Source organism: Homo sapiens, chromosome 1 (genome assembly GCF_000001405.40).
Source record: "Homo sapiens chromosome 1, GRCh38.p14 Primary Assembly".
NCBI classification, from domain to species: domain Eukaryota; kingdom Metazoa; phylum Chordata; class Mammalia; order Primates; family Hominidae; genus Homo; species Homo sapiens.
In genome coordinates, this window is record NC_000001.11 from 203,901,543 (window position 1) to 203,916,804 (window position 15,262).

At 40.1% G+C, this 15,262-nt stretch overlaps 1 pseudogene; it reads right to left on the reverse strand.

Moving 5' to 3' along the window:
- On the reverse strand, positions 2,059 to 2,519 carry HSPE1P6 (heat shock protein family E (Hsp10) member 1 pseudogene 6; annotated as a pseudogene).

Here is a 15,262-nt window from a genome sequence, read left to right on the forward strand (position 1 = left end):
CGGACGCCGGTGGGTCACGCCTATAATCCCAGCACTTTGGGAAGACGAGGCAGGCGGATCACAAGTTCAAGAGATTGAGACCATCCTGGGCAACATTGTGAAACCCCGTCTCTACTAAAAGTACAAAAATTAGCCGGCTGTGGTGGCGCACACCTGTAGTCCTAGCTACTCGGGATGGTGAGGCAGGAGAATCACTTGAACCCGGGAGGTGGAGGTTGCGGTGAGCGAAGATTGCGCCACTGCATTCCAGCCTGGGCAACAGTGCGAGACTGTCAACAAAAAAGAAAAAAAAATTGTGCACACTGGACAGGAAAATCTATTTGAGATCAGAACTAGTGAGATTTTATATTCTGTGTTTACTTTGATCCATGACTGAAGTTGTAGAACTGAAGCTGCAAACTCGGAGTCTGTGTGTATGAAAAAATTCTTCATCTCTCATTGTAGGAATTTGTCATCTTTTCCTATCTCTGAGTATGTTAATTACACTCTTCATTGACACAGTACAAAGTTATCACACTTGATAATTCCTTTTTGTCACTTCTGATGCCTTTAAGGTTATTATGTGTGTGGGTATGTATGTGGCTATGTATGTGTATGTTTGTGTTTGGTGTATAGCTACTATTTTCAGTGGGAGGGGTTACGATTGCCAGGTAAATACAGGACACCAATTAAATCTGGATTTCAGTAAACAATTATTTTTTAACATAAGTATGTCTGAAATTCAAATTTATATGGGGGTCCTGTATTTTTTCAAAATTTTTTTTTTTTTTTGAGACGGAGTTTCACTCTTGTTGCCCAGGCTGGACTGCAGTGGTGCGATCTTGGCTCACTGCAACCTCTGCCTCCTGGATTCAAGCGATTCTCCTGCCTCAGCCTCCCGAGTAACTGGGATTATAGGCACCTGCCACCATGCCCGGCTAATTTTGTACTTTTAGTAGAGATAGGGTTTCTCCATGTTGGTCAGGCTGGTTTCGAACTCCCAACTTCAGGTGATCCGGCTGCCTCAGCCTCTCAAAGTGCTGGGATTACAGGTGTGAGCCACCGCGCCTGGCCAAATTCTTTAATTGTAATAAGGTATACGTAACGTAAAATGTACTGTCTTAACCATTTTTATGTATACAGTTCAGCAGTGTTAAATGCATTTATAATGTTGTGCATCTTCATAATTCTTTTCATCTTGTAAAATTGAAACTCTGTACCCTTTAAACAACTTCCCATTCTTCTCTCCCCTTCACCCTTTGGCAAACACCATTCTACTTTCTGTCTGTGTGATTTTGACTACTCTGCCTCAAATAAGTAGAATCATACAGCATTTGTCTTTATGTGACTGACATTTCACTTAGGATAATGTTCTCAGGTTCATTCATTTTGTAGCATGTCAGAATTTCCTTTCTTTTTAAGGCTGTGTAATATTTCACTGTATGTATATACCACATTGTGTTTATCCATTCCTCTGTCAGTAGACATTTGGGGTTGCTTCTGTGTTTTAGATAGTATGAATAATGCTGCTATGAACATGGGTGTGCAGATGTCTCTTTGAGACCTGCTTTCAATTATTTTGAATACACCCCAAGTAGAATTGCTATGGTAATTTTTTTTTTTTTTTTGAGAAACCACCACAATTTTTTTTGTAGTGGCTGCACCATTTTACACAGCCACCTTGGCTGATTTTTATTTGTATCTTTTCTCTGTAAGAAACCGTAACCATGAACATAATACCTTTCAGTGAGCTCTGTGAGTCTTGTGAATTATCAAAGAAGGTAGTTTTTGGACCCCTCCAAATTTGTAGTTTGTATCAGAAGTGAGGATAGTCTTGTGGGAACTGTTCCCTCAAACTTTGTAGTTTGGTTAACTCTAGGTAGAATATATCTGTACTTTGTATTTTTATTTTTCCACCCCAACATGATGTGCAAAAATATATCTACTATAGCATACTACTAGATATAGTAAATATATCTAGTTTTAATGTGAAGGTTGTTGAATTTTATTATCGTGCATTTTCAAACTTCTATTGAAATGATTAATAAGTTTACCTCAACTGATGTTGTGTTTTTTTTTTCATTAGTTATCATTAGTTTATTATAAAAGAGAAATATGGAAATTATTTACATGATGAAAGATTTCAGAACTTCAGTGGAATGGGCAGTTTCACGTTGATGCCATTTCAATAGTGACTTATTTCAGCCTACGTACTTTCCAAGAATGTCACCATCTCTAAACAGGAAATAATCCTTGTCATCTAGAACTACTTTGGTGCCTCCATATTCTGGGAGAAGAACTTTATCTTCAACTTTCACTCTAACTGGTTGAATCTCTCCACCCTTTCCTTTAGAACACGATCCAACAGCGACTACTGTTGCTTGCAATACTTTTCCTTGAAGCATAATGCCTCCTTTGGTTACAGTTTCAGCAGTACTCCTTTCAACCAATACTTGGTCAAAGAGTGGAAGAAACTTTCTAAACGCTTGTCCTTCCTGCCATGACTCCCTCCGCCTCAGACTCATACTCCGCTCTCTTGTTTTTATAGTCATCTGTCATCAGGAGTGGAGCCAGGCTTTGTAGGACCTGAAGCTCATGTAATTTGGGGACTCTTTTTGTTAAAAAAAAAAAAAAAGAAAGAAAAAAGTGAAAATATAAATTTATAAAATCATAAGTACAAAATTATGCACAGAAGTAACTTTTCATTTAGAGTGAAAAAAGAAATCATAACAAATTAAAAAAATTTTAAATCAAGAACACAAATTATAAAATCCAGAAAAACAACATAATATTTTTATTGATTACCTGACTCACCTCTGTGATACTTTTCTTCCTGCAACTCTGATTGCTTCATCATATGACAATATTTTGTAGTATTTTTTCCTTTCTTTCTTTTTTTTTTTTTTTTTGAGACAAGGTTTCACTCTGTCTCCCGGGCTAGAGTGCAATGGCACCATCACAGCTCATTGCAGCCTTGACCTCCCGGGCTCAAGTGATTCTCCCGCCTCAGCCTCCCAAGTAGCTGGGACTGCAGATGCACACCACCAAGCCCAGCTGATTTTTGTATTTTTTGTAGAGGTGGGATCATGCCATGTTGCCCAGACTGGTCTTGAACTACTGAGCTCAAGCAATCCACCTACGCTGGCCTCCCAAAGTGCTGGGATTACAGATGTGAGTCACCGTGCCTGGTCAAGATTTTGTAGTATTTTCTCTTACACGAATAGAAAGATAAATCAATCTTTTCTCTCTTCTTCTTTGAAATTTATTTTCATTACTGATTGTTTAGAAAAGTTTCTTTCATCTTTACAACTTCCTTTTGGTAACACCATGTAATTTCTTAAGATTGTTGTCAAATTTGGTAAAACGTCTACCAAGTTTCTTTCATATATAAACTTTAAGATTTCAAAGTGTTCGGCTGGGCACGGTGGCTCATGCCTGTAATCCCAGGACTTCGGGAGGCTGAGGCGGGTGGATCACGAGGTCAGGAGTTCAAGACCAGCCTGGCCAAGATGGTGAAACCCCATCACTACTAAAACTACAAAAATTAGCCAGGCACAGTGTCAGGTGCCTGTAATCCCAGCTACCGGGAGGCTGAGGCAGAAGAATCACTTGAACCTGGGCGGCAGAGGTTGCAGTGAGCCGAGATCGCGCCACTACACTCTAGCCTGGGTGACAGAGTGAGACTCTGTCTCAGAAAAATAAAAATAAAAAAAGATTTCAGGGTGTTCAAATTTTCTTGTGCAATGACTAATCTCAAATATACTTTGCATTAATAACTCACTAATTTGTCATAGATGTCTTATTTTAGTGAGTACTATGTTGTTATAGTTAACTAAGCGAGAGACTTAAATCTATTTCCAATATGTTTATATGATTCATTTATCTTCATTTATTGGATTTTTTTTTTTAAGAGAGAGTCTCACTGTGTTGCCCCGGCTGGAGTGCAGTACTGTGGCTCACCACAGCCTCCACCTCCCAGATAAAGGTTCTGGCAGATTCAGTTTCTGGTGAGGCGCTCTTCCTAGCTTGCAGATAGCTGTTGCCCCTGTGTACTCACATGGCTTCTCTTCTGTGTTCATGAAGAGAAAGAGATGTCTAGTTTCTTTTCCTCTTATTTATTATTATTATTTTTTGAGACAAAGTCTCGCTCTTGTCCTCCAGGCTGGAGTGCAATGGCGCGATCTCGGCTCACTGCAACCTCCGTCTCCCAGGTTCAAGCGATTCTCCTGCCTCAGCCTCCTGGGTAGCTGCGATTACAGGTGCCTGCCACCATGCCTGGCTAATTTTTGTATTTTTAGTAGAAATGGGGTTTCACCACATTGGCCAGGCTGGCCTTGAACTCCTGACCTCAGGTGATCCACCCGCCTCGGCCTCCCAAAGTGCTGGGATTACAGGCGTGAGCCACTGTGCCCGGCTGAGCAAACCACACCCGGCGTCTTTTCCTCTTATAGGGACACCAGTCCTGTTGGATTTGGGCCCCACTCTTATGATCTCATTTAACCTTAAAAGCCCTATCTCCAAATATAGTCACATTGGTTAGGGCTTCAATATATAAATTTCAGTGGTGGCTGGGGAGGGGAGTAGGGAGAGGTGGTGTGCTGGGAAACACAATTCAGTCCATAACAGTAAGCATTTTAAGCTTAGCATATTACTCACTAAACAAAATCACGGTTCTGTTCCTATAAAAGACTGTTGGTGCCTGGCCCATCCTCCTGCCTCAGCCTCCCAAAGTGCTGGGATTACTGGTGTGAGCCACCACGCCTGGCCTCCTGCTGGTTCCTGGTCATGGTGCTTTGTTTCCTGGTGGTTTTGTGATTTTTTTTTTGTTTTGCTTTGTTGCTGTACTGACTTTTTAAAAAACATTTTCTTTAGAAATTCCTTGAGGCGTGGGATAGATGAGTTCCTCCAAAGGGATATGCTTCTTTTGAGCATCTGAGGGCATCATTGTACTAGGACTATTTTAATCCTAATTCTTGGTTTATGATTTTTTTTTTCTAATATGCGTTAGGTTATACGTGTTTCTGCTGCAAACCTGCATTAGGGCTTGCTTGTGGTTACAGGTTCTTGGAGGAGATAATCTCCCTTTCCTGACTTAGCACCGAATTTTGAGATGAGCAATTATTGCTGTAGTCATCTGGTGGTGATAATTGTGGTGGAGAAATGGATGATTTCTAATGTGCCTTACACTGAGAGAGTAACTCTTTGGGACCCAGTTTTATAGGGGGAAGAGGGAATCTCCTTTTAGATTCCCTATTTTAGATGGGTTTGGGCTTTGATTTCCAACCCACCTGCTGCACAGTACTATTAAACTTGAACCTGAGTTCTTCCAGTTTTGGTAGGTATCCTCTAGATTTCACTTCATTCTTACTTTAATGTATTATATTTCATTGTTTGAAATATTTTTTTCACATTTTAACATCTTTGAAATCAGTGTGTATCTTAAATTGTCTATAATCACTGTCAGCCAGTCAGCCATTACATAAATGTCATTGTTTATGCATGTATGAATATCAAAATTGCAGCATCAAAAATTGCAGAAGGAATGTCAGTGGCTTGGAAGAAAATCTTGAGACTAATAGTGGAGCATTCTTTTAACCCCGAGGCATCGAATGTTAGTGGAGAGGGGATAGCACAGTGAGTCAGACATTTCAGCAACACTCCTAAAATATGAGTCAGAAGTAGGTTAGTGCTACATAATAGCAAAGTCAGGCTTAAGAGCCCAGCATTAATTTTTTTTCATTATGTTAAGGATTGTTTTTTGAAATAATACATTTGTAATGTTCTTGATGGCACAGACAATTGTGTGGAAGAGTCAGATTAAATGTGAGGTAGTTTTAAGCACACCTTAAGCAATTTTTTCACTTACCTTTTAATATATGCTCAAAAGTAATATATGATTAAAAATAAGCTGGATCAGCCTGATGTGGTGGCTCATGCCTGTAATCTCAGCACTTTGGGAGGTTGAGGCAGGAGGATCTCTTGAGCCCAGGAGTTCAAGACCAGCTTGGGCAACATAGCAAGACCCTGTCACTACTAAAGTAAAAAAATTGGCCAGGCACGGTGGCTCACGCCTGTAATCCCAGCACCTTGGGAGGCCGAGGCAGGCCAATCACCTGAGGTCAGGAGTTTGAGACCAGTCTGACCAACATGGAGAAACCCCGTCTCTTCTAAAAATACAAAATTAGCCGAATGTGGTGGCGTATGCCTGTAATCCCAGCTACTCAGGAGGCTGAGGCTGGAGGACTGCTTGAGCCCAGGAGGTCCAGCCTGCAGTGAGCCATGATCACACCACTGCACTCCAGCCTGGGCAACAGAGTGAGACCCTGTCACAAAAAAATAAAATTACAAAAATAAGCTGGGTGCAGTAGCATTTGTCTACAGTCTCAGCTACTCAGGAGGCAGAGGCAGGAGGATTGCTTGAGGACTTCAGAAGTCTTGGGTAACATAGGAAGATCTTATCTTTAAATAAGTAAATAAATAAAAATGAAGGAAAAAATAGATGATTAGCCTACAAGATCTTCCATAAGTGTAAAATAAGTTACAAGAAAAAAGTTATAAGAAAGCATTATGTCATAGTTTGATTACATTTGTTTTCTTTCTTAGTAGTAAAGTAATGGCATATCTTTCAACCAACGATGCCTTAGATGTATAATACATTAAGTCATCTTTACTTTCTTTTTTTTTTCCTTTTTTTTTTTTGAGACAGAGTCTTGCTCTGTTGCCCAGGCTGGAGTGCAGTGACGCCATCTCGGCTCACTGCAAGCTCCGCCTCCCGGCTTCACGCCATTCTCCTGCCTCAGCCTCCCGAGTGGCTGGGACCACAGGAGCCCACCACCACGCCTGGCTAATTTTTTGTATTCTTAGTAGAGATGGCATTTCACCGTGTTAGCCAGGATGGTCTTGATTTCCTGACCTTGTGATCCGCCTGCCTCGGCCTCCCAAATTGCTGGGATTACAGGCATGAGCCACCACGTCCAGCTGTAATCTTTACTTTCTTGTCAGCTTTTGAATGCATTTAAGACTTTTTAAAATCCAGTAATTTTAGTTGATTTTACCAGGTGGTTCAGTCCTGTAGTATCTAGTCTACTATACTAAACAGAAATATTTTTGTAGTACTTTTATAATCAGAAAACATAATATTTCCAAAAAATTGTCTGGTTTAGAAGTGGTCTTTCAGGAGAAAAGAGTAAGACCTATAGTAAGAAAAAACAAGTTTTTTTTCTTTGGGATGGGAACATTTTTAGCATGTTTGTGTATTATTTGTGTGTTAATGTTTCTAATATTTTGTGTATCTCTTCTCTGTTCTTAATTAGATTTTCTGGAGGCTCGTATATTTCTTTTTTTGGAGACAGAGTCTCACCCTATCCCCCAGGCTGGAGTGCAGTGGCGTGATCTCTGCTCACTGCAACCTCCACCTGCGGGGTTCAAGCAATTCTCCTGCCTCAGCCTCCCAAGTAGCTGGGATTATAGGTGCCTGCCACCATGCCCAGTTAATTTTTGTATTTTTAGTAGAAACAGGGTGTCACCATGTTGGTCTGGCTGGTCTCAAACTCCCGACTTCAGATGATCCACCCGCCTCGGCCTCCCAAAGTGCTGGCATTACAGGTATGCATCACCACGCCCGGCCTGTCATTGCTTTTTATATAATAATTTTTCTTACTCAAAAAGTAATATAACATTTAAAACTGTGTATTTTCTTTCAAATACTGCTTTGACTTCATCACAAAGATTTAGATAGGTTGGTATTTTCATTATTATTTTTAAATGGCTAACTAATAATACTTCCTAACATTTGTCATACACTTTTATATAGCCTACCAAGCACTCTTTTTTTGTACTTTCCTTTTCTGTCTTCTTTTTTGTCCAAGTTCTCATCTGTGGGGTACTTGTTTATTTTACAGGTTATTGACGACTATTCCTAAGAAAACATTTATGCCATTAATGTTTAATTGTGTTTGTCCATTTTTTTAGTGTCTTTTTTGTTTAAAATAGAGAAGGTGTCTTGCTTTGCTGCCCAGGCTTGTCTCAAACTCCTGGCTTTAAGCAATCCTCCTGCCTCGGCCTCCCAAAGTGCTAGGATTATAGGCATGAACCACTGCACCTGGCCTAATATTTAATTGTGGATGGAAAATATAGTCCCAAAAATGTTTTCCTTTATTGTCTTTAATGAGATTTTTCTCTATAACCAGATATGTTTAATTTCTTTTTTTTTTTTTTTTTTTTTGTTTGAGACAGAGTCTCGCTCTGTCGCCCAGGCTGGAGTGCAGTGGCACAATCTCAGCTCACTGCAAGCCTCAGCCTCCCGAGTAACTGGGACAACAGGCACCCGCCACCACACCCGGCTAATTTTTTGTATTTTTAGTAGAGACGGGGTTTCACCATGTTAGCCAGGATGGTCTCAATCTCCTGACCTCGTGATCCTCCCGCCTCAGCCTCCCAAAGTGGTGGGATTACATGCGTGAGCCACTGCGCCTGGCCCGGATATGCTCAATTTCTATACATGAATGTATATAGCCATTATTTGTAGAATATAAAATCTGAAATAATGTTCTATGCTATGAATTATACTGTTTCAGTCCTTCATGCCTTTATACATATTGTCTGCTTAGTCTGTCATGGATATTAGATAATTAAAATTTCCTACTATAATTGTATTTTATATCATTTTCTCATTATAAGCCTACCAGTCTACATTATATATTTAGCTGCTATGTTAGTTCATATCAATTCCTTATTATTGTATTTTCATCTCTTACTATCCTTTATCATATGCAAGAACTCCACCTGCTTTAGTGCTTTTTTTTTTTTCTTTTTCAGCAAAAGAGTCCATTCAGCCTGGACTCTGTTGTCCAGGCTGGAATGTGCTAGTACCATCATAGCTCATTGCAGCCTCAAACTCCTGGGCTCAAGCGATCCTCCCACCTCAGTCTGCTGAGTGACTGGGACTACTGGCACAGGTTACCACATTTGGCTAATTTTTAAATGTTTTATAGGGACAGGGCCTTGCTATGTTACCTAAGCTGGTCTCAAACTCCTGGCTTCAAGTGATCCTCCTGTCTCAGCCTCCCGAAGCGTGGGGATTACAGATGTGAGCTACCGTGCCTGGCCTTTAGTGCTTTTTTGCCTGAAGTTCTAGTTTATCTCACACTAATATTGCTAATCCTGCTTTTCTTTTATATAATGATAGTTTATCTTCTCATTCTCTTATGTTTAGCCTTTCTAAACCATTTGGCTTTTAAGTAGCTATATATTAGTAGCATATTATTTAATTCTTTTTTTTTTTTTTTTTTTTTGAGGCAGAATCTTGCTCTGTCACCCAGGCTGGAGTGCAGTGGCATGATCTCAGCTCACTGCAACCTCCACCTCCTGGGTTCAAGCGATTCTCCTACCTCAGCCTCTCAAGTAGTTGGGACTACAGGTGTGTGCCACCATGCCTGGCTAATTTTTTGTATTTTTAGTAGAGACAGGGTTTCACCATATTGGCCAGGCAGTTCTTGAACTCCTGACCTCAAGTGATCTGCCTGCCTTGGTCTCCCAACGTGCTGGGATTACAGGCATGAGCCACCATGCCTGGCCTAATTAATTGACTTTTTTTTTTTTTTTTTGAGATGGAGTCTTGCTGTGTCGCCCAGGCTGGAGTGCAGTGGTGTGATCTTGGCTCACTGCAACCTCCACCTCCCAGGTTCAAGCGATTCTCAGGCCTCAGCTTCCCGAGTAGCTGGGATTACAGGCACCCGCCACAACACCTGGCAAATTTTTTTTTTTCTTATATTTTTTGTAGAGATGGGGTTTCACTGTGTTGGCCAGGCTCATCTCAAACTCCTGACTTCAAGTGATCCACCCGCCTTGGCCTCCCAAAGTGCTGGGATTACAGGTGTGAGTCACCATGACCAGCCTGATTTTTAAATAATTTATACTCCAGCCAGGAGCGGTAGCTCATGCCTGTAATCCCAGCCCTTTGAAAGGCAGAGGCGGGAGAATAGCTTGAGCCCAGGAGTTGGAGACCAGCCTGGGCGACATGGTAAAACCCTGTCTCTACAAAAAATACAAAAATTAGCCAAGTGTGGTGCTGTGTGCCTGCAGTCCCAGCTACTTGGGAGGCTGAGATGGGAGAATCATCTGGGCCTGGGAAGTCGAGGCTGCAGTGAGCTAAGATCAAGTCACTGCACTTTAGCCTGGGAAACAAGGCGAGACTCTATCTTAAAAAAAAAAAAAAAAAAAAAAAAAGTCCCTTTGCCTCTTAGTAGCAGGATTTAGACTATTTAGAATAATTTTAATTGTTACATTTGGTTTATCTTAGTTTCTATTTTATGCTTTCTCATTATTATTTCTTCAGTTCTGCCTTTCCTATGAGTTTTACTTTGTTTCTGTTATTTTTTAAATCAGTTTGGAAGGGAAACAGTAGCATGAACCACAAACATTTATTATCTCACCCGATTTCTGAAAGTCAGGAATCCAGAAGTGGTTTAACTGGGTGGTTCTGGCATAATGTCTTTCCTGAGGTTGCAATCAAGATGTTGCCTGTTGCTTTAGTCTTCTGAAGATTGGACGGGAGCTGGAAAATATGCTTCCAAGCTCACTTACACGGCTGTTGTCAAAGGACCTTGGCGTCTGTTGTCCGGAGGTCTCATTCCTTACCACACAGGCCTCTCCACAGGACAGCTATGGCATGGCAGGTGGCTTACCCAAGGGCGAATGATCCAAGAGGGAGGGAGAGAGAACAAGATAGAAGCCACAATATCTTTAATAACCCAGTTTCCCAAATGATGTACTGTCACTTTTGCTGTATTCTGTCAGTCATAGAGAACAACCCCAGTACAATATGGGAAGAGATGACGCAAGGATGTCAATGCCAGGTGGTAGGAATCATTGGGAGCTATCTTGAAGGCTGGCTACCTCAATCACCCTATTTTTATTCTGCTGGTGAATATTTTAAGTTCACAAACATCCTTAAGTGTATATTTGCCTACTTATAGCTGCCTGATAAAAAGTAACTTTGGCCATCATAAGGTAAGCAATTTTGTTTATTTTGGCTTATTTTATAACTTTCTTATACTTTCTCATTCTTTATTAATTTAGAGGTTTTATAGTGTCCAAAATCAATCTCTCTTCTACATCTCTTTCTAATATTATATTAATTAAGAAGCCTTACCAACAACTGTAGTTAATATCACTGCATTAATCAGGGTGCTAGCAGAGAAAAAGAACCAGTAGGAGATACAGTTGGCCCTTGAACGACGTAAGTATGAACCGCGTGGGTCCCCTTATACATAGATTTTTTTTCAGTAAATATATTGGAAAAGTTTTTGGAGATTTGGGACAATTTGAATAAACTTACAGCCTAGAAAAACCACGTAGTCAAGAAATATTGAAAAAAGTTAAGAAAAAGATATGTCATGAATGCATACAATGTATAGATAGTCTGTTTTATCATTTGCTATCATAAAATATACACAAATCTATTATAAAGAGTTAAAATTTATCAAAACTGACATTTATACGCTGAATATGGTAACTTTCACAGTTGTGAGCAATGTAAACAGAGGTAAAGATGCATTATTCAATCATAACTGCATAAATTAACTGTTGTACATACTGTGCTGTTCTAATCATGTTTTACCCACCTCCTGTTGCTGTTGTGGTGAGGTCAAGTGTGGTTAGTATCTGTTTAAACCACCACGTGGCTCTAATCATCTCTGCATGAACAGTTCATCTCTCTAGTAAATTGTACATCACAATAAAAAATGATCTCTTGAAGTTCTAGCATATTTTTCATCATGCTTAATGCAACACCATAAACCTTGAATAACACCATGTGTCCCGTACCAAGTGCCACTAGTGACTAGAAGTGCTTCCAAGAAGCAGGAAAAAGTCCTGACATCACAAGGAAAAGCCGAATTGCTTGATGCTTACCATAGATTGAGGGCTGCAGCTGCAGTTGCCTGCCATTACAAGATAAATGAATCCAGCACAAGGACCATTGTAAAAAAAAAAAAAAAAAAGGAAAGAAAATTCACAATGCCATGGCTTTGCTATGCCAGCAGATACAAAAACTGTGCACACTTTGTGAAATACCTTTTTGTCTGGTATTGCAAATGTAGCTTTTTTTTTTTTTTTTTTTTTTTTTTTTGAGACAGAGTCTTGCTCTGTCACCCAGGTTGGAGTGCAGTGACGTGATCTCAGCTCACTGCAACCTCCACTTCCTGGGTTCAAATGATTCTCCTGCCTCGGCCTCCCACATAGCTGGTACTACAGGTGTGTGCCACAATGCCTGGTTATTATTATTTTTTTTTTTTTGTATTTTTATTAGAGAGGGGGTTTCACCATGTTGGCCAGGCTGGTCTCAAACTCTTGATCTGTTGATCCCCATGCCAAGGCCTCCCAAAGTGCTGGGATTACAGGATTACAGGCATGAGTCATTGCACCCGGCCGAAGATGGAGCTTTTATGTGGGTACAGAATTGCTGTAAGAAAGGTATTCCTATAGACTCTAATATGATTTGAGAAAAAGTGAAGTCATTACATGACAACTTAAAGCAAAAGGAAGGTGAAGGATCTAAAGCTGGAGAATTTAATGCCAGCAAAGGATGGTTTAATAATTTTGTTTGTGTGTTTGGGTTGATAATTTTAGGAAGAGGTTGGGCTTAAAAAATATCAAGATGACAAGAGAAACAGCTTCTGCCAACCTAGAAGCCACAGATGAGTTCCCAGATGCTACTGAGAAAATCATTAAGGGGAAAGGATATCTGCCGGAACAGATTTTTAATGCAGACAAATGTGTCCTATTCTGGAAAAAAAAAATTGCCAAGAAAGACATTTATTAGTAAGGAAGAGAAGTGAACACCAGGATTTAAGACAGGAAGGAATAGTCTAACTACTGTTTTGTGCAAATGCAATCAGGTTTATGATCAGAACTGCCCTTATTTATAAAGCTCCTAACCCTCGAGCCTTGAAGGGAAAAGATAAACACAAGCTGTTAGTCTTTTGGTTGCACAACAATAAGGCCTGGAAAATGAGAATCCTTTTTCTGGAGTGATTCCATCAATACTTTGGCCCTTTCTTACCTTACCAGTATGGAACTGCCTTTTAAATTTATTTTGTTATTAGACAACGCCCCTGGCCACCCAGAACCCCATGAATTCAACACCGAAGGTATCAAAGTGGTCTACCTACTCCCAAGCACAAGATTCAGCCTTTAGACTGGGGGGTCATAAGGACCTTCAAGGCTCATTAACACAGTTCTCTATGGAAAGGATTGCCAATGCTATGGAGGAAAACCCTGATGGAGAGAACATCGTGCAAGTCTGGAAGGATTACACCACTGAAGATGCCATTGTTGTTATAGGAAAAGCTGTGAAAGCCATCATGCCTGAAACAATCAATTCCTGCTACAGAAAACTGTCCGGATGTTGTGCATAACTTCACGGGATTTATGACAGAGCCATCCAAGCAAATCATGAAAGGAAGAGATTGTGGATATAGCAAAAAAAAAAAAAAAAAAAAAAAAAAAAAGCGGGGGAGGGGTGAAGAGTTTCGAGATTTGAATCTTAGAGAAATTCAAGAGCTAATTGACACCATATTATAGGAATTAACAAAAGATGACTTAATGGAGAGGCATGCTTCTGAACCAGTGCCAGATATTGAGGAAGAAGAGGTAGAAGAAGCAGTGGCAGAAAACAGACATTAAACAATGGGGCAGAAGGGTCCTGAGTGCTCAAGACTGTTTTTGACTTCTTTTATGATATAGCACTGAAACTAAAGCAAATGGTAGAAGAAGGATTGGTACCATACAGAAACAATTATAGAGGGATGAAAAAGCAAAAAGGTCAGCAATTATGATGTATTTCTTTTTTTTTTTTTTTTGAGATGGAGTCTTGCTCTGTTGCCGGGGCTGGAGTGTAGTGGCGCAATCTCAGCTCACTGCAACCTCCGCCTCCCGAGTTCAAGTGATTCTCCTGACTCAGCCTCCCATGTAGCTGGGACTACAGGTGTGTGCCACCACGCCTGGCTAATTTTTGTACTTTTAGTAGAGACGAGGTTTCACCATGTTGGCCAGGCTGGTCTTGAACTCCTGACCTCAGGTGATCCACCCACCTCAGCCTCCCAAAGTGCTGGGATTACAGATGTGAGCCACCATACCTGGCCTATACCTTTTAAATTGTGTGACTTGATTAAGGTCATATGACTAAAACAGGATCAAGTTAGGATCAAAATTCAAATCTTTGGAAAACAGGACATTTTCTTTTCCACTCTACCATGTGCCTCCACTGTAGAGAAGAAACAGCTGCAAAATCATGGCATTGGATAGGAAATGGGCCACAGAGATTGAAATTGCTTTCTCTCCTTCTTGCCCGCCTGCCTGCCTACCTTACTTTCTCCCTTCCTTATTTCTCTCCTGCCTCCCTTCCATCTTTTCTTACACTTCAATTATAAACTGTTTCAGGCAAACAGAAAACTACAGTGACTACTTTTAAAACAATGTATCCACCACAGAATACTACAGTGACTAATTTAAAAACAACGTATCCACCACTTAGCTCATCAAATCTTAACATTTGGTCATATTTACTTCAGATGTTTTGTTTGTTTATTTTTAAGAAGTTAAACATTTACATATATAGTTGAATCCATTTTGTACCCTTCTGATAAAATCTTTTTCTTTCTCTGTAACCATGTCCGTTATCTTTTTTTTTTTTTTTTTTTTTTTTTTTTGAGACAGAGTCTTGCTCCATCACACAGGCTGGAGTACAGTGGCATGATCTCGGCTCACTGCAACCTCCGCCTCCTAGGTACAAGCGATTCTCCTGCCTCAGCCTCCCGAGTAGCTGGGACTGCAGGTGTCTGCCACCGTACCTGGCTAATTTTGTATTTTTAGTAGAGATGGAGTTTCACCATGTTGGCCAGGATTTTCTTGAACTCCTGACGTTGTGATCCGCCCACCTCGGCTTCTCAAAGTGCTCGGATTACAGGCGTGATCTTAGTATATATTATATTCTTGCATAGTTTAATACATTTGTTATATGCTATAATATATGATTGTGTTCTGCCTGTTTCTAAAGTTTATTTAAATGGTGTCATATTATAAATATTCTGAAAATTGCTTTTTCTATTCAAGATTATTTTTTAATATTTATCCATATTGGTATATGTAACTCTAGCATATTCATCTTAACTATTGACTTTTTTTATTGAACGTGCTTGAATTTATATTCATCTAGTTATCTAGTTATCTACTGATGAACGTTTAGATTATTTCTAATTTTCTCTATTACCACAATGCTGCA